The sequence below is a fragment of the Homo sapiens genome, chromosome 10, assembly GCF_000001405.40.
Source record: "Homo sapiens chromosome 10, GRCh38.p14 Primary Assembly".
Classification (NCBI taxonomy): domain Eukaryota; kingdom Metazoa; phylum Chordata; class Mammalia; order Primates; family Hominidae; genus Homo; species Homo sapiens.
The window spans coordinates 67,692,513-67,719,191 of record NC_000010.11 but is presented as its reverse complement, the minus strand read 5'-3'; the positions used below and the strand labels follow the sequence as shown (position 1 = coordinate 67,719,191).

At 39.3% G+C, this 26,679-nt stretch overlaps 1 protein-coding gene across 4 annotated transcripts in view, besides 1 other annotated feature; it reads left to right on the top strand.

The window, feature by feature from the left end:
* The window catches only part of CTNNA3 (catenin alpha 3), a 1,851,072-nt gene that overhangs the window by 44,403 nt on the left and 1,779,990 nt on the right, over positions 1–26,679 (top strand). For 3 of the 4 annotated variants that reach the window (NM_013266.4, XM_017016152.2, XM_017016158.3), the window contains exon 1: positions 22,997–23,192. The exons of the other annotated variant lie outside the window; for it this stretch is intronic. The gene's annotated coding sequence lies outside the window, so the exon portion shown is untranslated. Of the gene's footprint in view, positions 1–22,996; positions 23,193–26,679 lie in introns of those variants that run through there. 4 annotated transcript variants of the gene reach the window in all.
* Positions 21,248–21,297: an enhancer, noted in NCBI's record as "active region_3449". NCBI's record gives its function as "activates an Ori minimal core promoter by ATAC-STARR-seq in GM12878 lymphoblastoid cells {active_cell/tissue: GM12878}" and the evidence as "EXISTENCE:reporter gene assay evidence [ECO:0000049][PMID:35858748]".

The window sequence follows — 26,679 nt, the reverse complement described above, 5'->3', positions numbered from 1 at the left end:
AGAGAAGAATGAAATAGAAAAAATAAAAAATTATAAAGGGGTTATCACCACTGATCCCACAGAAATACAAACTACCATCAGAGAATACTGTAAACACCTCTATGCAAATAAACTAGAAAATCTAGAAGAAATGGATAAATTCCTGGACACATACACCCTCCCAAGACTAAACCAGGAAGAAGTTGAATCCCTGAATAGACCAATAACAAGTTCTGAAATTGAGGCAGTAATTAATAGCCTACCAACCAAAAAAAGCCCAGGACCAGATGTCTTCACAGCCGAATTCTACCAGAGGTACAAAGAGGAGCTGGTACCATTCCTTCTGAAACTATTCCAAACAATAGACAAAGAGGCACTCCTCCCTAACTCATTTTATGAGGCCAGCATCATCCTGATACCTAAACCTGGCAGAGATACAACAAAAAAAGAAAATTTCAGGCCAACATCCCTGATGAACATCGATGCGAAAACCCTCAATAAAATGCAAACCAAATCCAGCAGCACATCAAAAAGCTTATCTACCACAATCAAGTGGGCTTCATCCCTGGGATGCAAGGCTCGTTCAACATATGCAAATCAATAAATGTAATCCATCCCATAAACAGAACCAACTACAAAAACCACTTGATTATCTCAACAGATGCAGAAAAGGCCTTCGATAAAATTTAACACCCCTTCATGCTAAAAACCTTCAGTAAACTAGGTATTGATGGAACGTATCTCAAAATTGTAAATTTATGATAAACCCACAGTCAGTATCATTCTGAATGGGCAAAAGCTGGAAGCATTTCCTTTGAAAACTGGCACAAGACAAGAATGCCCTCTCTCACCACTACTCAACATAGTATTGGGTGTTCTGACCAGGGCAATCAGGCAAGAGGAGAAATAAATTGTATTCAAATAGGAAAAGAGGAAGTCAAATTGTCTCTGTTTACAGATGGCATGATTGAATATTTAGAAAACCCCATTTTCTCAGCTCCAAATCTCCTTAAGCTGATAAGCAACTTCAGCAAAGTCTCAGGATGCAAAATTAATGTGCAAAAATCACAAGCATTTCTATACACCAATAACAGACAGAAAGCCAAATCATGAGTGAACTCCCTTTTACAATTGCTACAAATTGAATGAAATATCTAGGAATACAACTTACAAGGGATGTGTGAGGACCTCTTCAAGGAGAACTATAAACCATTGCTCAAGGAAATAAAAGAGGACAGAAACAAATGGAAAAACATTCTGTGCTCGTGGGTTGGAAGAATGAATATTGTGAAAATGGCCATACTGCCCAAAGTAATTTATAGATTTAATGCTATCCCCATCAAGCTACCACTGACTTTCTTCATAGAATTAGAAAAAACTACTTTAAATTTCATATGGAACCAAAAAAGAGCCCGTATAGCCTAGACAATCCTAAGCAAAAAGAACAAAGCTGGAGGCATCATGCTACCCGACTTCAAACTATACTACAAGGCTACAGTAACCAAAGCAACGTGGTACTGGTACCAAAACAGATATATAGACCAATGGAACAGAACAGAGGCCTCAGAAATAATGCCACAAATCTACAACCATCTGATCATTGACAAACCCGACAAAAACAAGCAATGGGGAAAGGATTCCCTATTTAATAAATGGTGTTGGGAAAACTGGCTAGCTATATGCAGAAAACTGAAACTGGACCTTGTCCTTACATCTTATACAAAAACTAACTCAAGATGGATTAAAGGCTTAAATATAAAACTGAAAACCATAAAAACCCTAGAAAAAAACCTAGGCAATACCATTCAGGACATAGGCATGAGCAAAGTCTTCGTGACTAAAACTCCAAAAGCAATGGCAACAGAAGCCAAAATAGACAAATGAGACCTAATTAAACCAAAGAGCTTCTGCACAGCAAAAGAAACTATCTTCAGAGGGAAGAGGCAACCTACAGAATAGGAGAACATTTTTGCAATCTATCCATCTGACAAAGGGCTAATATCCAGAATCTACAAGGAACTTAAAGAAATTTACAAGAAAAAAACAACCCCATCAAAAAGTGGGCAAAGGATATGAACAGATACTTCTCAAAAGAAGATATTTATTGGCCAACAAACATGTGAAAAAAAGCTCATCATCACTGGTCATTAGAGAAATACAAATAAGAACCATGATGAGATACCGTCTCATACCAGTTAGACTGGCGATCATTAAAAAATCAGGAAACAACAGATGCTGGAGTGGATGTGGAGAAATAGGAATGCCTTTACACTGTTGGTGGGAGTGTAAATTAGTTCAACCATTGTGGAAGACAGTGTGGCGATTCCTCAAGGATCTAGAACCAGAAATACCATTTGACCCAGCAATCCTTTTACTGGGTATATACCTAAAGGATTATAAGTCATTCTACTCTAAACACACATGCACACATATGTTTATTGCAGCGCTATTCACAATAGCAAAGACTTGGAACTAACCCAAATGCCCATCAATGATAGACTGGATAAAGAAAATGTGGCACATACACACCATGGAATACTATGCAGCCATAAAAAAGGATGGGTTCATGTTTTTTGCAGGTACATGGATGAAGCTGGAAACCATCGTTGTCAGCAAACTAACACAGGAACAGAAAACCGAACACCGCATGTTCTCACTCATAAGTAGGAATTGAACAATGAGAATACATGGACACAGGGAGGGGAACATCACACACTGGGGCCTGTTGAGGGGTGGAGGCTAGGGGAGGGAGAGCATTAGGAGAAATACCTAATGTAGATAATGGGTTGGTGGGTACAGCAAACCACCATGGCACGTATATACCTATGTAACAAACCTGCATGTTCTGCACATGTATCCTAGAACTTAAAGTATTAAAAAAAAGTTGTAACTTATTTAAATTCATTATCAACAATCAGAATTAGAAAAGATCATGGTCTAGTTTTTCCTTATTTTTGAATCAGTGGTATTAGGCCCTTTTTAGGGATACCTGAAAATCTCTGATATTTATTTGCTGTTGCATAACTTCTGAGGCATAAATTCTTGGTTTACACATGATAATTGTTAATATACCTATATTTGATAACATGAATTGATTTTAATAATGAAACCTTAAACTCTTATTTTTGTATTAGTAAAAAGAGTAGCATTCCCAAACAAGGATCGTTCATATCCAGAGTACCTTATAGTAAAGGTCCTGCTTATCCAGCTGATTAGCTACAGTCAATTAAGTTACCCGCTCTTAAGGGTATATGAAAAGGGATCTTACAACTCAGAACATTGTAAGCATTTGCATGTATTATTTGAGAAGAACTAAATCTGCATTTAAAAAAAATACCTGCCCCAAACTTTTTCACCTGTGTAGATACTAATGTTTGCAATATACAGCCCAGCCAGTTCCAGGCAGATTGGTCTTTCAGATGGAACCTGTAATTTTAGTCCCATATCTGATGGGGCTAAAATATCTTTTGAATCACAGCCCCTGTTCTAATTCTCAATGTTTATTCAATCTATGTAACTAGGCTTCTGCCAGTGCACTTGGCTAGGGCTCTAACTCCTTGTCTAATTCTTGCCAGTTTCCAGATGAACCACCTGAAATAGGGAATCATCACACCGTAACATAGAGTAACAGTTCAGAGAAGGGATTCCTGCTACAGTGTCCTACTAGATAGACGGTTCTCAGACATTGTAACTGTTCCTAATTAAATAAAAGTTTCTATGTCCTCTTATGTGCCAAGCCATTTTGATTAGCTGCTCTCAAGGTCTCCTGGGGGTTGAGCCCTATCATTTGGTCAGTTCTTCTCATTTGGTCAGTTCTCCTAGTCTTATTCCTGCATGGCCCCTTATTATTACTTGATCCCTTCTTGTTCTTGCACTGTTCATTGCTAAAATTGAGGTGGAGCTTTTGTAAAATGCAATATGAACTATATACCATTATCCAAGTCATTAACATGATTAAAAATAGCTACCATTTATTGAAAACTATGTGTGACTCAAATGTCTGAGATTCAACATCTGGTTTCTAAAATAAGGTTATATATTCTTTTAAATTTGTAGATTCCAATAGCTCAAGTTTCTATTGTCCAAGTGCCAGAAATTAGCCCTTTAAAGTGTTTCTTGGCTATTTCTGAGTCATCCCAAGAGCTCTCTCAATTGTGCTCAGGAAGAGGTCTGTATTAGTCTGCTTTCATGCTGCTGATCAAGACATACCAGAAACTGGGCAATTTACAAAAGAAAGGTTTATTGTACTTCCAGCTCCATATGGCTGGGGAGGCCTCACAATCATGGTGGAAGGTGAAAGACATGTCTCACATGGTGGCAGATAAGAGAAGAGAACTTGTGCAGGGAAACTTTCCTTTTTAAAACCATCATATCTCATGAGACTTATTCACTGAGAATAGCATGGGAAAGACCTGTCCCCATGATTCAGTTACCTCTCACCAAATCCCTCCCACAATATGTGGGAATTCAAGATGAGATTTGGGTGGGGACACAGTCAAACCATATTATTTCACCCCTGGCCCCTCTCAAACCTCATGTCCTCACATTTCAAAACCAGTCATGCCTTCTCAACAGTCCCTGGAAGTCTTAACTCATTTTAGCATTAACTCAAAAGTCCACAGTCAAAAGTCTCATCTGAGATAAGGCAAGTGCCTTCTACCTATGAGCCTGTAAAATCAAAAGCAAGTTAGTTACTCCCTAGCTACAATGGGCGTACAGGCATTGGGTAAATATAGCCATTCCAAATGGGAGAAATTGGCCAAAACAAAGGGGCTACAGGCCCCACACAAGTCTGAAAGCCAGCAAGGCAGTCAAATCTTAAAGCTCCAGAATGATCTCCTTTGACTCCATGTCTTGCATCCAGGTCACAGTGATGCAAGAGGTAGGTTCCCATAGTCTTGGGCAGCTCTGCCCCTGTGGCTTTGCAGGGTACACTTCCTTCCTGGCTTCTTTCATGGTCTGGCATTGAGTGTCTGTGGCTTTTCCAGGTGCATGGATGGTGCAAGCTGTTGGTGGATCTACCATTCTGGGGTCTGGAGGATGGTGGCCCTCTTCTCACAGCTTCACTACATGGTGTCCCAGTAGGGACTCTGTGTGGGGGCTCCAGTCCCACATTTCCCTTCTTCACTGCCCTAGCAGAGGTTCTCCATGAGAGCCCTGCCCCTGCAGCAAACTTCTGCCTGGTGGACATCTAGGCATTTCCGTACATCTTCTGAAATCTAGGCAGAGGTTCCCAAACCTCAATTCTTTTTTTTTTTTAATTTTACTTTAAGTTCTGGGATACATGTGCAGAACATGAGGGTTTGTTACATAGGTATACATGTGCCATGGTGGTTTGCTACACCTATCAACCCGTCATCTAGGTTTTAAGTCCCTCATGCGTTAGGTATTTGTCTTAATGCTCTCCATCCCCTTTCCTCCCATCCCCCGACAGGCACCAGCATGTGATGTTCCCTTCCCTATGTCCATCTATTTTCATTGTTCAACTCCCACTTATGAGTGAGAACATGCGGTATTTGGTTTTCTGTTCCTGTGTTAGTTTGCTGACAATGATGGTTTCCAGCTTCATCCATGTCCCTGCAAAGGACATGAACTCATTCTTTTTTTATGGCTACATAGTATTCCATGGTGTATATGTGCCACATTTTCTTTATCCAGTCTATCATTGATGGGCATCTGGGTTGGTTCCAAGTCTTTGCTATTGTGAATAGCGCTGCAATAAACATATGTGTGCATGTGTCTTTATAGTAGAGTGACTTATAATCCTTTGGGTATATACCCAGTAATGGGATTGCTGGGTCAAGTGGTATTTCTGGTTCTAGATCCTTGAGGAATCACCACACTGTCTTCCACAATGGTTGAACAAATTTACATTCCCACCAACAGTGTTAAAGCATTCCTATTTCTCCACATGCTCTCCAGCATCTGTTGTTTCCTGACTTTTTAATGATGGCCACTCTAACTGGCATGAGATGTTATCTCATCGTGGTTTTGATTTGCATTTCTCTAATGACCAGTGATGATGAGCTTTTTTTCATTTGTTTGTTGGCTGCATAAATATCTTCTTTTGAGAAGTGTCTGTTCATATCCTTCATCCACTTTTTGATGGGGTTGTTTGTTTTTTTCTTGTAAATTTCTTTAAGTTCCTTGTAGATTCTGGATATTAGCCCTTTGTCAGATGGATAGATTGCAAAAATGTTCTCCTATTCTGTAGGTTGCCTGTTCCCTCTGAAGATAGTTTCTTTTGCTGTGCAGAAGCTCTTTAGTTTAATTAGATCAATTTATCAATTTTGGCTTTTGTTCCAGTGGCTTCTGGTGTTTTGGTCATGAGGTCTTTGCTCATGCCTATGTCCTGAATGGTATTGCCTAGGTTTTTTTCTAGGATTTTTATGGTTTTAGGCTTTACATTTAAGTCTTTAATCCATCTTGAGTTAGTTTTTGTATAAGGTGTAAGGACGAGGTCCAGTTTCAGTTTTCTGCATATGGCTAGCCAGTTTTCCCAACACATTTATTAAATAGGGAATCGTTTCCCCATTGCTTGTTTTTGTCAGGTCCCAAACCTCAATTCTTGACTTCTCTGCACTTGCAGGCTCAACACCATGTGGAAGCTGCCAAGGCTTGGGGCTTGCACCCTCTGAAGCCATGGCCGGACCTCTATATTGGCCCCTTTCAGCCACAGCTGGAGCAGCTGGGACACAAGGCACCAAGTCCCTAGGCTGCACACAGCACGGGGACCCTGGGCCCAGCCCATGAAACCATTCTTTCCCCCTAGGCCTCTGGGCCTGTGATGGGAGGGGCTGCCGTGGAGACCTCTGGTATGCCTTGGAGACATATTCCCCATTGTCTTGGGGCTTAACACTTGGCTCCTCATTATTTATGCAAATTTCTGCAGCCAGCTTGGATTTCTCCTCAGAAAATGGGATTTTCTTTTCTATCATATTGTCAGGCTGAAAATTTTCCAAGCTTTTTTACTTTGCTTCCCTTTTAAAACTGAATGCCTTTAACAGTACCCAAGTCATATATTGAAAGCTTTGATGCTTAGAAATTTCTTAATCCAGTCTATCATTGTTGGACATTTGGGTTGGTTCCAAGTCTTTGCTATTGTGAATAATGCTGCAATAAACATACGTGTGCATGTGTCTTTATAGCAGCATGATTTATAGTCCTTTGGGTATATACCCAGTAATGGGATGGCTGGGTCAAATGGTATTTCCAGTTCTAGATCCCTGAGGAATCTCCACACTGACTTCCACAATGGTTGAACTAGTTTGGAATACTATGCAGCCATAAAAAATGATGAGTTCATGTCCTTTGTAGGGACATGGATGAAATTGGAAATCATCATTCTCAGTAAACTATCGCAAGAACAAAAAACCAAACACCGCATATTCTCACTCATAGGTGGGAATTGAACAACGAGATCACATGGACACAGGAAGGGGAACATCACACTCTGGGGACAGTTGTGGGGTGGGGGGAGGGGGGAGGGATAGCATCGGGAGATATACCTAATGCTAGATGACGAGTTAGTGGGTGCAGCGCACCAGCATGGCACATGTATACATATGTAACTAACCTGCACAATGTGCACATGTACCCTAAAACTTAAAGTATAATAAAAAATAAATAAATAAATAAATAAATTTCTTCTGCCAGATACCCTAAATCATCTCTCTCAAGTTCAAAGTTCCACACATCTTTAGGGAAGGGGCAAAATGCCTCCAGTTTCTTTGCTAAAACATAACAAGAGCCACCTTTTCTCCAGTTCCTATCTCCATCTGAGACCACCTCAGACTGGATTTCATTGTCCATATCATTATCATCATTTTGGTCAAAGTCATTCAACAAGTTTCTAGGGAGTTCCAAACTTTCCCTTATTTTTCTTTCTTCTTCTGAGCCCTCCAAACTGTTCCAACCTCTGCCTATTACCCAGTTCCAGTCGCTTCCGCATTTTTGGGTATCTTTTCAGTAATGCGCCACTCTACTGGTACCAATTTACTTTATTAGTCCACTTTCACACTGCTGATAAAGACATACCCAATACTGGGCAATTTGCAAAAGAAAGAGGTTTATTGGACTTACAGTTCCACATGGCTGGGAGGCCTCACAATCATGGTGGAAGATAAGGCATGTCTCACATGGTGGCAGACAAGAGAAAAGAACTTGTGCAGGGAAACTCCCCTTTTTAAAACCATCAGATCTCATTAGACTTATTCACTGTCATGAGAACAGCACTGGAAAGACCTGCCCCCATGATTCAAATACCTCCCACTTGGTCCCTCCCACAACACGTGGGAATTCAAGATGAGATTTGGGTGGGGACACAGCCAAACTATATCAAGGTCCACTATGTTTTTCTGTTTTGGATGCCTTGCCCTGCTGCTTTGGATCCTGTTCTCCAGGTCACTATTCTATCCCAGTCAGGACACAGATTATTTCCCTAATTTTCCATAGAATAGCATTTTAACCAGACTTTCCACAAAGAGGCAAGATAAAGAAAAGACAATACAGATAATGGTTTACAACAGTAACTGTGTCTACACCCAGTACCCTTTGGTCCAAGTTCTGGCCCATTTTCAAGGTATCCTTGAAAAGTGTTCTTCTGAATTGTTTCTATCTACCACTGTTGTGGATATGTCACTGTGTGATACTCTCTAGTTTGTCTCTTCCATCTGGAGGCTAGGCCCCCAAAACTGTGGAGCTTCAGAGAGAAAAGGGACGTTCTCCCCTTTTTGGCTAAAATCCTGGGTTTCTAGCTCACATTCCTGTCCCAGAATTAACTTCTCCCTCAGAATAAGTAACAATGGGGATATCCATTCTCTTCAGGATTAATCTCATTCCTTCACTATAGGATATGGTCTGGTCCTGTGAGTACCTCCCATCTCCTCCTCTTGTCCAGGCAATTGCTATAGCTGTCTTTAGTGCATTCCTAGAAATCTGAATTATTCTCTTAACATCATGTTTGGGACTTAAATAGTCCATTCCAGGTTGTGCTATGCCAGTCTGGGTGGGGCTGTTTACAGAATTTATCTTCTTTCCTTCCTTTATCGCTCTCCCTTCCTACTTCCTCTCTGTCCCCCTCCTCTTCCTCCCTTTCTTCCTATCCTTTTTCATTTTAGTCTTGGGGCCCTTGTAAACATGCAGTGTTCTATAGCAATGCTTCTTCTCAAGTTTCTTTTCTTCCTTCCACCGCAGGGGCAGTTTTGGTTGTCACGGTAGTTGTGGGACACACCTGGCATTTAATTTGCTGGGGCCTGTTAAAAAGAAAACTATTAACAAGTGATATTTGTTAAAGCATTGATAAAGAAGAATTTATTTAGGACTATCACAGTATAGGGACCACTGCAATAGGTCTTGTGGTAGAGGAGAGAGATTGTGCTCAACTCTCAATACAGCATGGGCAAGTGGGAATTTATAGCCAGTGACCAGAGTGGGGTCACTGAAAATTACCAGGAAGAAACATCAGGGGTAAGAGGGGTTCTGGGTAAACCAATCTAACTAGATTCTTGCTGAAGACAGGCCAAGGTGATCAGATATCACCTGGGGAATGGTGGTGGATGAGGAACCCAATCAAGGGAGATCAGATATGGAGCGGGAGGGTTGGGGGGAGGGGTGATTCTTGCTAAACTGACTTAGCAGGGGTGTTTATGAAAACTAGATTTTTCAAGGAAGTACATAAATGGGCCTAGATGAAGTTTCAGAAGGTCAGCTACAGTTTTGTCAAGCAAGGAATCTTTGTCAGTCCAAAGAAACTTAGAGGGTTTACAGTGCGTGGAACTGTCCTCTATAATGAATTGTCCCCACATCCCATGCAACTTTCTAATTTCCCAGTGGACATTCATGTATGTTCTGCTTATAATTTTCTAAGCCTTGAACCTAACTCTGGTTTTACTCATAAACACGTAGTATTTTTTGGCGCAGTTTTAATATATACTGAATTTCTAGGAATGCAACCATTTAGGTATATCAAAGGAAGATTGTTTTTATTTTGTTCTGTATTATATCAAGAGTTGTGCACTATTATAGAAAAATCATGTCACTACTGAAATGCTGCTTGTGGTATTTGAATTGACAATACAACAGTGCATCCTTATCTATCTACATTTGTAGCTGCCACATTCATAGTGATTCTGTGCATAAGGGGAAGAGTGACTGTTTTCCAGTGCAAGTATGCCTGATCATTTATATAATGAAATGCAAATATATAATTTATGTGAATACATACATATATATAAGATATATATAAAATATATTTTTAATGAGTTAGTATAGTCAGTTTGTAGTTAGTAACTATAAATTTCATTTCAGGATATTAAAAAGGAACATTCAAAAATATTTGTTTTATAAAGAGAGTATAAGTTCTGATGGGTTCGAGGACTATGTAAATTCATACAGGAAAAATAAACAGTTCTCTTTAAGAAACAATAAAACTCTACAGAGACATAGCTCACTGAATTTCTCTGAGTGAAACAACTACAATTATTTCCTTCATGACATTTAGGTGAGACTTGCTTTACATTTGCACAAACAGAAAATCTACTGTCTTTGTTTTCTCAGAACAGAGACAGGACTTTTGAGATTAGAATTGCAAAGACAGGACAATTTCTTTAACATTTTAAAAGCTGTATTACTTTTAAAATTAAGTGTGTTAATGCTTCAGAAGTGGTATAATAAAGCCCTGTTCAAATAATTTGAAATAAGAAGGTTCAATGACAGTAAATGTTAATTTCATTCTAGGTGTTCCGTGTCTCTGAAAATGATTGTGATTTTCAAAGCTGCAGAAGCAAGTTGTTTTTAGAACCATCAATACAAGATGGTCTGGTTTATGAATATATTCAAGGGATTGAGATGGTGATTAATTGATAAAAGAAATGTCACCTGAAAGGTGTGGGCTGGGAATTCTCATTAAAGAGTTGAGAAAGAAGTAACCAAGTAATCAATGAACTAAAGCAGACATGATTGACTGTAATTACTCTGCTTGTTAAGGTTATTGACTAACAGCAAGATGGGCTGTCAAAACCGAAGCATGGTGCCTTGGGAAAATTAAATGAGAAAAATTAATGAGAAAAACATTCATTTTAGCCCTTCTATTATTACCAAGGCAACAAAGCTAATGTGTCAACTTCAATAGTTTGTTCTGAAATAGTTAAAATGAGACTGAAAACATTAGCACTAAATTCACCCGGACTGACATCTAAATGTGATATTTGGGTTTACACAAAGTGAAATACAGGTAGGGAGAGAAATTAGGTGGTAACTATAATACATAAAGACAACAAGCAAGGCATAACTCTAGTTTGTGTAAGGTAAGGTAGCATTAATAGTTGTAAGGATGGAGATAAGGCAATGGATTTGAAGGCTATTGGAGAAATAAAATTAATAGAATACCAATCTCTGATGAAGCTGACATCTTTCATTTCGTATCAAGGTGAATGTAACTTTCACCAGGAAATTTTCCTTGATTATCCCCTCCTCCTGGAGCTATCCCTACCTCCTTTTAATTCCTATAGCTATTGATGCTTACCTTGTATTATACTTAATTTGCATATGCCATACACTAACGGACACTGCCACTGCCCCTAGCTTTTATCCCAATGGTGAAGACAGAATAACTAAACAAATTAAAAAAATGCAAGGTCGTGATAAGTGACTGGGAACAGTGAGATAAAAAATAGTAAAGAAAGACCTCTATGAGAAGGTGAAGGATGATATCAAAGATGAAAATGAGCCAGACGTGTAAATAGCTGGGAGCAAATGGTTTCAGGCAAAGGAACAGCAAGTGCAATTGCCCTAGGGGAATATGGTTGGTTATTTTATAAATAGAGAGTATATCTGGAGTCAGTATATTAGAGGGGAGAGTGTTTTGAGTCAAGGGGAAAGAATGTTGTGAGTTGAGGTAAAAGAGGTTGACAACAGCCAGATCATCAAGGTCTTGTAGATTTGGTAAAGAATTTGGATTTTCTGCTATGAGTAATAGGAAGCCTTTGTATAATTTTAAGCAGGAGAATAACATGAGCTAAACTTCTAAGTTCTGAAAAATCACTTAGAAGCTATGTAGAGAATGGCTACCAATGTTGGAATAGTCAGGGTAGGAGAGCTAGAGAAATGTGGACATGTTAAAGACAAATTTTGTAAGTAGGATCAGTGGGAATTCTGGATGGTAATGAGGGAAAAGAATGAATGAAGGATGACTCCTAGGCTTTGGCTTATGCAGTAATTGGGTGATGGTACCAATTATTGGGATATGAATGTCAGAGAAAAATAGGTTTGAGAGACAAAAATCAAGAGCTCCTTTTTGGGACATATCAAGTTTGAAGTGTGTATTGTTTATTCAGATGGACAAGGCAGTTTAGATATATTGCTGTGGGGGTCATGAGAGAGGTCTGGACTAGGATACAAAGTTGGGAACCATTAGCATATGGATGTGTAACTGGTTTCAGTGAACTAGCTTGTTTTCTTCTATCTGTATCTCCCTTTGCTCTGTTGCCTCTCCCTTTCCTATTCCTTAATGACACATCAGGTGGGTGCCTGCCATTTTTAGTTCTTTAAAGGCCTGCTTGTCCAATTTAACACTTCCATTTCATTCTAATTTAAATCTCCCTCCCTTTCCCCCAGCACTGACCAGATGTCCTCCCAAGGGACTTGGAATGGGGGAAGAGTTTTTTTTCATCACTTCTGCTCTGGTATCTTCAAGAGGAGAGGAAGTAGTTGGCCTTGTTCCCCTAACTTTTCAAGTCCACTAACTTTTCCTCTAATATTATGGCTGGTATAACTGAGTACCCCCATTTTTCTAAGAGATTTTTTTTTCTTTCTTCTTTTTTCTTTCCTCCTTTCTCTCACTTCCTACTTAGCTCTTTAGAACTGCAATTATAACCTTTTACCTCCTCTTCACCAGACAATCCCTGCAGGGTGAGTTAATCCAACTATGTGCTTACAAGCTCCAGAGCCCAACTCTCTCCCACCAGGAAACTGTTTTGAGAGATGACAGACAGTTAATCTACACCTCAAAGTATGCCTGCTACAAAACTCTTTCCTAACTGGAGAGTTTCGGCTATTTTTACAAGATGGTTCTGCCCACAGAGACACTAGTGGTCACCAGCTTGACTGCCCAGTAGATAAGGCATCAAAGCAAGTTATGCAGACCCCCATCTGCATTTCCCTCCCCTGCATGCCATTCATGCCAAGACCTCTTTTAAAAGCACCTGCTTTCTGCTTCAAAAGTGAAGCAGCACCCTTAAAGGCAGAAGTCTGCACTTCTTCCCCTAAGCCAGCTTTGGAATAAAAAGTCTCCTTCTTTATACCAGACTTCGCTCTAGTTAATTGGACTCTGCAAGCTGTGGGCAACTGAACCTGTATGTCGGTTACGCTAGGAGAGGGCATACGAGAGGAAGAGCATGTAGCCCTTTTCTTTCTTTCTTTTTTTTTTTTATTATTATTATACTTTAAGTTTTAGGGTACATGTGCACAATGTGCAGGTTAGTTACATATGTATACATGTGCCATGCTGGTGTGCTGCACCCATTAACTCGTCATTTAGCATTAGGTATATCTCCTAAAGCTATCCCTCCCCCCTCCCCCCACCCCACAACAGTCCCCAGAGTGTGATGGTCCCCCTCCTGTGTCCATGTGTTCTCATTGTTCAATTCCCACCTATGAGTGAGAATATGCGGTGTTTGTTTTTTTGTTCTTGCGATAGTTTACTGAGAATGATGATTTCCAATTTCATCCATGTCCCTACAAAGGACATGAACTCATCATTTTTTATGGCTGCATAGTATTCCATGGTGTATATGTGCCACATTTTCTTAATCCAGTCTATCATTGTTGGACATTTGGGTTGGTTCCAAGTCTTTGCTCTTGTGAATAGTGCCGCAATAAACATACGTGTGCATGTGTCTTTATAGCAGCATGATTTATAGTCCTTTGGGTATATACCCAGTAATGGGATGGCTGGGTCAAATGGTATTTGTAGTTCTAGATCCCTGAGGAATCGCCACACTGTCTTCCACAATGGTTGAACTAGTTTACAGTCCCACCAACAGTGTAAAAGTGTTCCTATTTCTCCACATCCTCTCCAGCACCTGTTGTTTCCTGACTTTTTAATGATCACCATTCTAACTGGTGTGAGATGGTATCTCATTGTGGTTTTGATTTGCATTTCTCTGATGGCCAGTGATGGTGACCATTTTTTCATGTGTTTTTTGGCTGCATAAGTGTCTTCTTTTGAGGAGTGTCTGTTCATGTCGTTCGCCCACTTTTTGATGGAGTTGTTTGTTTTTTTCTTGTAAATTTGTTTGAGTTCATTGTAGATTCTGGATATTAGCCCTTTGTCAGATGAGTAGGTTGCGAAAATTTTCTCCCATTTTGTAGGTTGCCTGTTCACTCTGATGGTAGTTTGTTTTGCTGTGCAGAAGCTCTTGAGTTTAATTAGATCCCATTTGTCAATTTTGGCTTTTGTTGCCATTGCTTTTGGTGTTTTAGACATGAAGTCCTTGCCCATGCCTATGTCCTGAATGGTAATGCCTAGGTTTTCTTCTAGGGTTTTTATGGTTTTAGGTCTAACATGTAAGTCTTTAATCCATCTTGAATTAATTTTTGTATAAGGTGTAAGGAAGGGATCCAGTTTCAGCTTTCTACAAATGGCTAGCCAGTTTTCCCAGCACCGTTTATTAAATAGGGAATCCTTTCCCCATTGCTTGTTTTTCTCAGGTTTGTCAAAGATCAGATAGTTGTAGATATGTGGCGTTATTTCTGAGGGCTCTGGTCTGTTCCATTGATCTATATCTCTGTTTTGGTACCAGTACCATGCTGTTTTGGTTACTGTAGCCTTGTAGTATAGTTTGAAGTCAGGTAGCATGATGCCTCCAGCTTTGTTCCTTTGGCTTAAGATTGACTTGGTGATGCGGGCTCTTTTTTGGTTCCATACAAACTTTAAAGCAGTTTTTTACAATTCTGTGAAGAAAGTCATTGGTAGCTTGATGGGGATGGCATTGAATCTATAAATTACCTTGGGCAGTATGGCCATTTTCACGATGTTGATTCTTCCTATCCATGAGCATGGAATGTTCTTCCATTTGTTTGTATCCTCTTTTATTTCATTGAGCAGTAGTTTGTAGTTCTCCTTGAGGAGGTCCTTCACATCCCTTGTAAGTTGGATTCCTAGGTATTTTATTCTCTTTGAAGCAATTGTGAATGGGAGTTCACTCATGATTTGGCTCTCTGTTTGTCTGTTATTGGTGTATAAGAATGCTTGTGATTTTTGTACATTGATTTTCTATCCTGAGACTTTGCTGAAGTTGCTTATCAGCTTAAGGAGATTTAGGGCTGAGACAGTGGGGTTTTCTAGATATACAATCATGTCATCTGCAAACAGGGACAATTTGACTTCCTCTTTTCCTAATTGAACACCCTTTATTTCCTTCTCCTGCCTGATTGCCCTGGCCAGGACTTCCAACCCTATGTTGAATAGCAGTGGTGAGAGAGGGCATCCCTGTCTTGTGCCAGTTTTCAAAGGCAATGCTTCCAGTGTTTGCCCATTCAGTATGATATTGGCTGTGGGTCTGTCATAGATAGCTCTTATTATTTTGAGATACATCCCATCGATACCTAATTTATTGAGAGTTTTTAGCATGAAGGGCTGTTGAATTTTGTCAAAAGCCTTTTCTGCATCTATTGAGATAATCATGTGGTTTTTGTCTTTGGTTCTGTTTATATGCTGGATTACATTTATTGATTTGCGTATATTGAACCAGCCTTGCATCCCAGGGATGAAGCCCACTTGATCATGGTGGATAAGCTTTTTGATGTGCTGCTGGATTTGGTTTGCCAGTATTTTATTGAGGATTTTTGCATCAATGTTCATCAAGGATATTGGTCTAAAATTCTCTTTTTGGTTGTGTCTCTGCCAGGCTTTGGTATCAGGATGATGCTGGCCTCATAAAATGAGTTAGGGAGGATTCCCTCTTTTTCTATTTATTGGAATAGTTTCAGAAGGAATGGTACCAGCTCCTGTTTGTACCTCTGGTAGAATTCGGCTGTGAATCCTTCTGGTCCTGGACTCTTTTTGGTGGGTAAGCTATTGATTGTTGCCACAATTTCAGAGCCTGTTATTGGTCTATTCAAAGATTCAACTTCTTCCTGGTTTAGTCTTGGGAGGGTGTATATGTCAAGGAATTTATCCGTTTCTTCTAGATTTTCTAGTTTATTTGCGTAGAGGTGTTTGTAGTATTCTCTGATGGTAGTTTGTATTTCTGTGGGGTCGGTGGTGATATCCCCTTTATCATTTTTTATTGCGTCTATTTGATTCTTCTCTCTTTTCTTCTTTCTTAGTCTTGCTAGCGGTCTATCAGTTTTGTTGATCTTTTCAAAAAACCAGCTCCTGGATTCATTAATTTTCTGAAGGGTTTTTGTGTCTCTATTTCCTTCAGTTCTGCTCTGATCTTAGTTATTTCTTGCCTTCTGCTAGCTTTTGAATGTGTTTGGTCTTGCTTTTCTAGTTCTTTTAATTGTGATGTTAGGTTGTCAATTTTGAATGTTTCCTGCTTTCTCTTGTGGGCATTTAGTGCTATAAATTTCCCTCTACACACTGCTTTGAATGTGTCCCAGAGATTCTGGCATGTTGTGTCTTTGTTCTCACTGGTTTCAAAGAACATCTTTATTTCTGCCTTCATTTCGTTATGTACCCAGTAGTCATTCAGGAGCAGGTTGTTTAGTTTCCATGTAGTTGAGCGGTTTTGAATGAGTTTCTTAATCTTGAGTTGTAGTTTGATTGCACTGTGGTCTGAGAGACAGTTTGTTATAATGTCTGATCTTTTACATTTGCTGAGGAGAGCTTTACTTCCAACTATGTGGTCAATTTTTGAATAGGTGTGGTGTGGTGCTGAAAAAAATGTATATTCTGTTGATTTGGGGTGGAGAGTTCTGTAGATGTCTATTAGGTCCGCTTGGTGCAGAGCTGAGTTCAATTCCTGGGTATCCTTGTTAACTTTCTGTCTCGTTGATCTGTCTAATGTTGACAGTGGGGTGTTAAAGTCTCCCATTATTATTGTATGGGAGTCTAAGTCTCTTTGTAGGTCACTCAGGACTTGCTTTATGAATCTGGGTGCTCCTGCATTGGGTGCATATATATTTAGGATAGTTAGCTCTTCTTGTTGAATTGATCCCTTTACCATTATGTAATGGCCTTCTTTGTCTCTTTTGATCTTTGTTGGTTTAAAGTCTGTTTTATTAGAGACTAAGATTGCAACCCCTGCCTTTTTTTGTTTTCCATTTGCTTGGTAGATCTTCCTCCATCCTTTTATTTTGAGCCTATGTGTGTCTCTGCTCGTGAGATGGGTTTCCTGAATACAGCACACTGATGGGTCTTGACTCTTTATCCAATTTGCCAGTCTGTGTCTTTTAATTGGAGCATTTAGTCCATTTACATTTAAAGTTAATATTGTTATGTGTGAATTTGATCCTGTCATTATGATGTTAGCTGGTTATTTTGCTCATTAGTTGATGCAGTTTCTTCCTAGCCTCGATGGTCTTTACAGTTTGGCATGAATTTGCAGCAGCTGGTACCGGTTTTTCCTTTCCATGTTTAGTGCTTCCTTCAGGAGCTGTTTTAGGGCAGGCCTGTTGGTGACAAAATCTCTCAGCATTTGCTTGTCTGTAAAGTATTTTATTTCTCCTTCACTTATGAAGCTTAGTTTGGCTGGATATGAAATTCTGGGTTGAAAATTCTTTTCTTTAAGAGTGTTGAATATTGGCCTCCACTCTCTTCTGGCTTGTAGAGTTTCTGCCAAGACATCCACTGTTAGTCTGATGGACTTCCCTTTGTGAGTAACCTGACCTTTGTCTCTGGCTGCCCTTACCATTTTTTCCTTCATTTCAACTTTGGTGAATCTGACAATTATGTGTCTTGGTGTTGCTCTTCTCGAGGAGTATCTTTGTGACATTCTCTGTATTTCCTGAGTCTGAATGTTGGCCTGCCTTGCTAGATTGGGGAAGGTCTCCTGGATAATATCCTGCAGAGTGTTTTCCAACTTGGTTCCATTCTGCCCATCACTTTCAGGTACACCAATCAGACGTAGATTTGGTCTTTTCACATAGTCCCATATTTCTTGGAGGCTTTTTCGTTTCTTTTTATGCTTTCTTCTCTAAACTTCCCTTCTCCCTTCATTTCATTCATTTCATCTTCCATCACTGATACACTTTCTTCCAGTTGATCGCATTGGCTCCTGAGGCTTCTGCGTTCTTCACGTAGTTCTCGAGCCTTGGCTTTCAGCTCCATCAGCTCCTTTAAGCACTTCTCTGTATTGGTTATTCTAGTTATATATTCGTCTAAATTTTTTTCAAAGTTTTCAACTTCTTTGCCTTTGGTTTGAATTTCCTCCTGTAGTTCGCAGTAGTTTGATCGTCTGAAGCCTTCTTCTCTCAACTCGTCAAAGTCATTCTCCGTCCAGCTTTGTTCCGTTGCTGGTGAGGAGCTGCGTTCCTTTGGAGGAGGAGAGGCGCTCTGCTTTTTAGAGTTTCCAGTTTTTCTGCTCTGTTTTTTCCCCATCTTTGTGGTTTTATCTACTTTTGGTGTTTGATGATGGTGATGTACAGATGGGTTTTTGGTGTGGATGTCCTTTCTGTTTGTTAGTTTTCCTTCTAACATTCAGGACCCTCAGCTGCAGGTCTGTTGGAGTTTGCTAGAGGTCCACTCCAGACCCTGTTTGCTGGATATCAGCAGCGGAGATTGCAAAACAGCGGATTTTCGTGAACCGTGAATGCTGCTGTCTGATCGTTCCTCTGCAAGTTTTGTCTCAGAGGAGTACCTGGCCGTGTGAGGTGTCAGTCTGCCCCTACTGGGGGGTGCCTCCCAGTTAGGCTGCTCGGGGGTCAAGGGGTCAGGGACCCACTTGAGGAGGCAGTCTGCCCATTCTCAGATCTGCAGCTGCGTGCTGGGAGAACCACTGCTCTCTTCAAAGCTGTCAGACAGGTACACTTAAGTCTGCAGAGGTTACTGCTGTCTTTTTGTTTGTCTGTGCCCTGCCCCCAGAGGTGGAGCCTACAGAGGCAGGCAGGCCTCCTTGAGCTGTGGTGGGCTCCACCCATTTCGAGCTTCCTGGCTGCTTTGTTTACCTAAGCAAGCCTGGGCAATGGCGGGCGCCCCTCCCCCAGCCTCGCTGCTGCCTTGCAGTTTGATCTCAGACTGCTGTGCTAGCAATCAGTGAGACTCTGTGGGCATAGGACCCTCCAAAGCATGTGCGGGATATAATCTCCTGGTGCGCTGTCTTTTAAGCCCATCGGAAAAGCGCAGTATTAGGGTGGGAGTGACCCGATTTTCCAGGTGCCGTCTGTCACCCCTTTCTTTGACTAGGAAAGGGAACTCCCCGACCCGTTGTTCTTTCCGAGTGAGGCAGTGGCTTGCCCGACTTCGGCTCGCGAACGGTGCACTGCACCCACTGTCCTGCGCCCACTGTCTGGCACTCCCTAGTGAGATGAACCTGGTACCTCAGATGGAAATGCAGAAATCACCCGTCTTCTGCGTCGCTCATGCTGGGAGCTGTAGACCGGAGCTGTTCCTATTCAGCCATCTTGGCTCCACCTTCTCTTTTCTTAACTGCTTCTTAGTAATCCCTGAGTGAAATGTCTATCCTCAAATACTGGAAATTCCTTAGCGTGTACCTGGGTGGCTTCATTGTCTTTCATTTTGAGCCATAGTCACCAATTATTGGCAACAGGAGAAGTCCCACTCAATATCCTATGTCATTTAAAGATCTCATTTGAAGCCATAGGTTAGGATGTGTTATCCCCTCAGGTGACAGAATGGTTTGGCCACCTGGAGGTTGTTGATAGACTTAAAAATGACCCTTTTGGGAGTGAAGGGGAAATAAATCATCTTAGTGGGTTGTGAAGTGAGAGGTAAAAACATAGGGGTGGTGGACAACTCATTTGGGAAGTATTATGATGAAGGCACAGAGAACTAAGTAGCAACCACAGGGAGTTGTAGGGTAAAAGTATGTTTTGTTTGTTTGAAAATTTTCAGGTAGAAGTCCTGTGGCATATTTTTGCACTGATCATTGGAGAAAGGGTGATAATGCAGTGTGTGAGGTGATCGTGAAGGAGCAGAGTCCTTGAAAAGGTGAGGGAAGAAGGGATCCAGCACACAAGAGAGATTAGCCTTTGGTAAGAGCAAGAGGACTTCTTGCATTTTAATAGGAGGGAGGGTAGAGAAGATGAGGCTCGGTGTTAGTGGGTTTATAGATTTGATGATGGAAAGATGTGAAACATCTTCCAGATGGCTTCTGTTCTTCTTAGTGAGGCAGGAGAGTTGGTTAGCTGCTAATAATAAGGATGGTTGGGAAGGGAGAGTGAGAAACATTTTTTTTTTTTGTATTAATAGTACATAAGACCTTCAAATCAGGGGCAGATTCATTTAGATTCACCTAAAATACCTGACAAGGTGCCAGAAGTATTTATCACATATTTTTGAAAAAAATGGTTTTAATTATCACAAACAGGGATTATTCCTAGCTTTAAATCTCATTTTAGAAAGGTATTATGGCTGTTCAGAAAATTACATATTTTTAAAGCCCGAACCTGAAATTGCCAGTATTTTGAGATATTATGGACAGATGAAATGGACTCATGGTTCATGCAAAAGTGATTTTCATTCTATAAGGGATTTTATTGACAAGAAGAAACTACTCCATTCTGACTAAAGAACATATTGCACCCTGGAGGATTTATTTTCCAAGAGAGGCTACTGACAGGGATAGAATTATCTTCTTTTTGGAGGCCTCCCTTCTCTCCTGTAATCTTCTAGCTGGCGCCTAACACAGGGCTCTGCATCAAGGGGCTTCTCAATACATCCAATTGAATGACTTTGTTTGGGGCCGGTCCTGATGCCCAGAACGAAAAAACTTACTTTTGATTACCTCGGGAGAATTGCTAGTAATGGCCCTGATTTATTCTCTCTCTTTTTTCTCTCTTTTTTTTTTCCCCAGCTCTTCTACCCTCAATGTTTGATTGCTTGCAAGAGGCATGTGAGCCAAAATTTTAAAGTTTGCAAAGTATAAAGAAAGGAAACAAGTAAATAGGGAAGGAGAATAAATACTGAACAAGACTGGGCAAGGTGACAAGAAAGAACTACTGTGAAAATCTGGAAGAGGGCCAGGATGCAAAATGCAGGGGCTGTGTAGTTTACAGGAACTATTTAGCCTCCAGCATGCCTCAGCGATCACACAGAGAAAGGCAGATTTCTCTGCTTTTGTCTCCTACCCTATAGTTAGCTATGGAAATTTGACATAGGTGATATATGTTTTCTGTCAGCAAACTGATACAAATACAGAGGACCATGGGGCCTGTGATCAACAAATCCAACGTGATTTGAATTGCTAGGAGGGGACCTCTTGTGGCTATAGTGGGAAATACTTCAGCTAAATACTACCTTGGAGGCTGCAGATATTTTTATGAAGGAATTAAAAAAAAACCCACTATAAAAGCTCTTTAAAATTACATTTCAGATATTTATAATATTTAATTGTTTTGATAACACCAAATTCTGTAAGAAGGTTTTATCTGTATTGCATCTCTGAAGAGTTCAGTGTAATTTAAAGCTCTTCAGCTTTTATCCATTTAATTCACATATCCTCTGAAAAGCAAATGAAAAGAATAAGAGTTCTCATCTACATTTTGTAGGTGGAAAGGAGAGGTACAGGGCAGGTAAGTAACTTATTGTGGTTTCACAGCAGGACAAGCTAGGCTTATGATAGAATTTGGATATCTCATCTTGGGCTCAATTCAACAGTCCTGGTTTGGAAAACATTCATTATTAAAGCTCTAAAACAAAACCTGCTATTTTGCAAGTGTCAAGTGATTTCTTTATTCAAGAAAAGATGGATTGAGAGACATAAAACTTACTCTTTGTTTCACTGTGAAAAGATGCTATTCCTAGATTCTCCAGGGGGAAAAAGCTGCTTTAAAAAAATCTGGGGAGGATAGCATGTTAGCAACTAAGAATCTTTAGATAAATATATTGTCAATTATGCCCATTTTAAAGGTAGCTACATAAAAATACAGTTGTTTTGAAGGCTATCCTGAAAATCATATAAAATGAACTCCTTTCATAGTTGATTCTCTGACAGTTCCCAGACCCTGCCTTTCCTCTTGGCTCCCTGAAATTTGTGCTAAGAGTATCTGGAGAGCCAATAAATAAATGCTTTCTTTTTATTTTGAATTCAGCCTTTTAAGAACAGGACTGCCAAAACTCAAACAAGTAGTTCATATTTTAGTTAGCACCTCTTGTTTTAGAAGCTATTAGAAGAAAGTCGGAAAAATGGTAATGTCCAAGGAAATGCCACAGAAGTTCGAGTGGGATGTCAAGGAATTGATGAAATGATAAAGATTGTTTCAGTGGATGTGAAGATATTGAGGGAGAAGATATCAAAAAAAAGGGAAAAGGAAATGTGAAAAAGAATAGTCATAGAGAGAAAAAATAAATTTTGGTGGAGAAGACTTTTTTTTTTGGTGGCTTAAATTTAATAATGGGTTAACCTATTGAGTTTTTGGTAAATCTTCAGTTTAGATTCTTTACTGATAATGATGTGGTTCCTCATAAATACTGGAAGGAGAGAGTGTGATGCTTGGTACAAGGGATGAGACAGGTAATATTTCAGAAGAAGAAAAATACGATCTCAGATGTGACACATGGCCTTGATGCCATCATCTCTAGGGTTCTGAAGACATTGAATTTTACATAATTGATCTTTTGATGTGAGGATTTCCTGGACTCTTGTTTTCCCTGCTTTATCATTTTTCACTTTCAATAATTCCAGCCTTTGGCTTTAATTAGATAGAAGAGGTTCTTCTTTTGGAAAGGAACTAGAGAAATGCAAATCTAAACTTATTCAGAGCTATGTTTGTAGGTCTCTAGGCAAAGTATGTGTCTGGCCTTTTTCAACGAAGTATTTTCAGTAACAAGTTGTCAGTGAGGTCAGTGACTAGCGGTTCAGGATTAGATACCACCCACCCTGGCTTGTAACCTCCCCTTTCTTTCTTATCCTGGGTGAACAACGCTCAGCGAAATTGACTGCCCCACTGTCATCTGCCTCTCAATTTGGTACTCTGTAACTCTGTGACCACCAAGAAGCCTTTTTCCGTCCCCCACAAAGCTCTTTTTGGAAAATTCCCTACGGGAGCTGAATTTTAAGCCCATTTACTTTATAGGAAGAAACAGAAAGGTAAGAATCAAGTTTGTAAAGAGAAGAGCTGAACTTCAGCGAATTCTCATTTCTGCATTGAATTCCTGTGTCTTAGTTATAATCATAGGTTTAAAATTTGGGGTTTTCTTCTGAACTGAGGAAGATCACATTATTGTATGAAATAGGAATGTTTTGACTAGTTATGAGAAACGTAGGCTTTCACGCTAATTTTAAAGTTATAAATAACTTTCGAACTATTGCCAGGGGAAGCTGGTAGCCAAGGTCGTGCTTTGCATTCAGAGAGTTTCTGGCTATAAAAAGCCGATTGGATACTGTGCAGGAAAAGATAAGATATGGCCTGGATGCTTGTGCTTTGGCATGGGAGTGGGGAAAAGGAAGCAAAGATGGAATATGTTTGAAGGGATTTTACTTTCAACCAAAAGCTAATTCATAGTAAATGGAAGATGTTTCAAGTGAGATAATGGCAAAAAGCATTAATTTCTGAATTTAATGTCTATTTGTTTTATAATTGGAAGGAATATTAAGAGGTTGAGGAATGCTCTCAGAACTGTTTGATGACCAGTTATAGTCAAATGAAAATCACTGTATGGAATGATCATGAGATGTAATGATCAATCATGTAAAGAAAAGGTCACTATCTAATGGGATCTGAATGATTGTGAGCAGCTGCTGTCAGTTACACGGAAGACAAATAAAAGAAATGAGTTCAAATGGAAACAAGAAGAAATTGGGGTTAGACATCAGAAAGTTCATTTACTGTAGAGGTTTTGAGTCACTGATATGTGCCTACTAAGATCTCTGGAGATAACGTGAGAATGCAATGATTTGCTTAAAACAAAGTGGAAAAAGCAGGATTTCAAGTTTGCATTGGTTCTGGGTTTGTGGCTAGCTTTTTAGACAGATTGAAAGCTCAACATATTGAGAATAGTTGTGATTTGAAGATTCAGATTATCCATGGTCAGATTTGAATGGCATATTTGAGTGTGCTATTAAAATTTCATTGTCCATTATAAAAAATTATCTCAGTAGAACCATAGGACAAGTTTGTTAAATGGAGAAACCTAAAATACAGACAGTATAGACAAAGTTATTCCCATTTGTTACCTCCTACACATAGTCTAAATCTTCCTATTTGAGTAAAGATTGGTAAAACTTTTTTTCATTATAAAAGCATTAAATGTTCATCGTAGGAATTTTGAAAGCACAGAAAAATATTTCCTGTAATTTCATTGATGTGTTTCCTTCTAGTCTTTTTTTTTCTAGATGGCTTTAAAAATAATTGCAATAATAGTATAGATAAAATTTGGAACCTTGCTTTTTCATTTAACCATATACCAAAACATTTTCCACAGAATATTACCTATTCTACAGTGGTGTTATTTTAAATTTGTGTAACATTTGTTCAAGTGAATGAATATAATTTTATTAATCATTGCTGAACATCTAGATGCTATGGTAAACATCTTTGTGTATTTATTTACTTATGTGTATATGTATGTTGTAGATATGTTTAAGATAATTTCCTTAATCTCTGTTTCTAACTGTAGAAGTGTTGGATTAGAGAACACTATGTTTGAAGGTAAAAGTTGTGATATTTAAGATGTGTTTTTACTGTTATTCTTTTAAAGCATTGTAAAATTCCTAGTCTACCAAATGATATATTTATTGTCTATGATGTGCAAAACATTGTTATCAGGCACATAGATACCAAAATACTTAGTGTTTAGAAGGATGGAATCTCTCCTACCTACAAAATTTCCACTCAATAAACTTTTACAGATATCAACAAAGCTACATGTCAGAGTTGAAAATACTTCAGCTCTGCCTGAAACCGATAGATAGTATTGTTGATCACTTACGTTACTTTGCACATGAAAATAACAGAATGTATAAGTAACTTTATTAGAAGACCATGTAGACATAGTGATTTATATGACTTTTATGATACAACTGTGACAAAGAAATAGGAATAGGAAGAATAAATTCTTTACTTATTGTGAATCTTTGGAGAAATTAGAAGTATTTGGAGAAAATCTGTAGGCAACAGACTAGAAAGAAAAGGGATAGAGGGCACATGCTAGAGGAGCAATTCAGTATTGGGTTTTTCTATAGGGAAAACATGAGAATGGAATTAGGCGTGGCTATGGTAGGAGTCAGAGAAGATAAGTTTTAATTCTGTCATTGTTGAGTTTGAGAACCATGTTGTGTAAATAGAGTAGAAGGAAGAAAGCTAAGGAATTAGTGATAAATACAACTAATTATTGGAAGTGGTTACTGGTCCCAAGTAATCAAAGTGGAGAGATTAGAGATATCAATATTATGTGGTGTGAAGTGAGAGGTAGAGTTATGAATTATCAAATAATATATTCTTCCTGTATTAAAAAACTTTTTAAATTGTGAAGTTTTTATTATTCAGTAATAATATTTAGAGAAAAACCATAGCTACAGAAGGATGGGAGTTTCATTCTCTATTCCCCATGAACTTCTGTTTGCATGTTTCTATTTTTTTTGGAATAGAAGGGATTAAGATTTAAGAAGAGAAGTTGGCAACCCAAACTGGCCTGAAGAGAAATTATGCGCTTTGTAATGAAAACTTGAAAATAGTGTTTATTTATGGATCATTGGCTCATGGGAATGCTAGTCTAGAGATTTAAAAAGTGTGATTTTCTGATTCTTGTTTGGATACTGGATTTTAAGTGAGATGGTACAGCGGGGTGGAACTCCGGAGTTTAGCAAAGTTGCAAATCTAATGGAAAGTGACAGATAATTGAGGCTGCAGAATTTTTGAAGGTGAACAGGACTGTTAGCCGATACATCTGATTTTTCACATGCTTAAATACTGTTTTTAACCACATTATTTTTGCCTGGGATTCAGCGAGTAATCTGTAACCAATTTAATCACTAGCTTCTAGCATATGATAGGTGACTTTGAGTTCCTGTGTGCAAAATGGAAGATTAGGTCAAGTTTATTTGGCACCCTCCCCACCTCTTTTCTTTGCCTTTCATTATCCTAACCAGGATGATTTTCTGCTTCAGATGCCTCCTGGCAATGGGGAAATTGATTTGAAGGAGAAGGCAATGTTTAGTGCAAAGAAAGTCTCTCAAATACTGGAACTTGAACAATGGAGGCCCCTACTTTAAATTAGCACTGTTCAAAATGTAATTAGAAGTTCCCAATTTTTAACTAATCTATGAAACGAGATAAGAGGCTTGTGCCTGAAAGTAAATCAGCTACACCCTAAGCACTTTGTAGCAAGACTTTTTTTTTTTTTTTTTTTTTTATTGATCATTCTTGGGTGTTTCTCGCAGAGGGGGATTTGGCAGGGTCACAGGACAATAGTGGAGGGAAGGTCAGCAGATAAACAAGTGAACAAAGGTCTCTGGTTTTCCTAGGCAGAGGACCCTGCGGCCTTCCGCAGTGTTTGTGTCCCTGGGTACTTGAGATTAGGGAGTGGTGATGACTCTTAAGGAGCATGCTGCCTTCAAGCATCTGTTTAACAAAGCA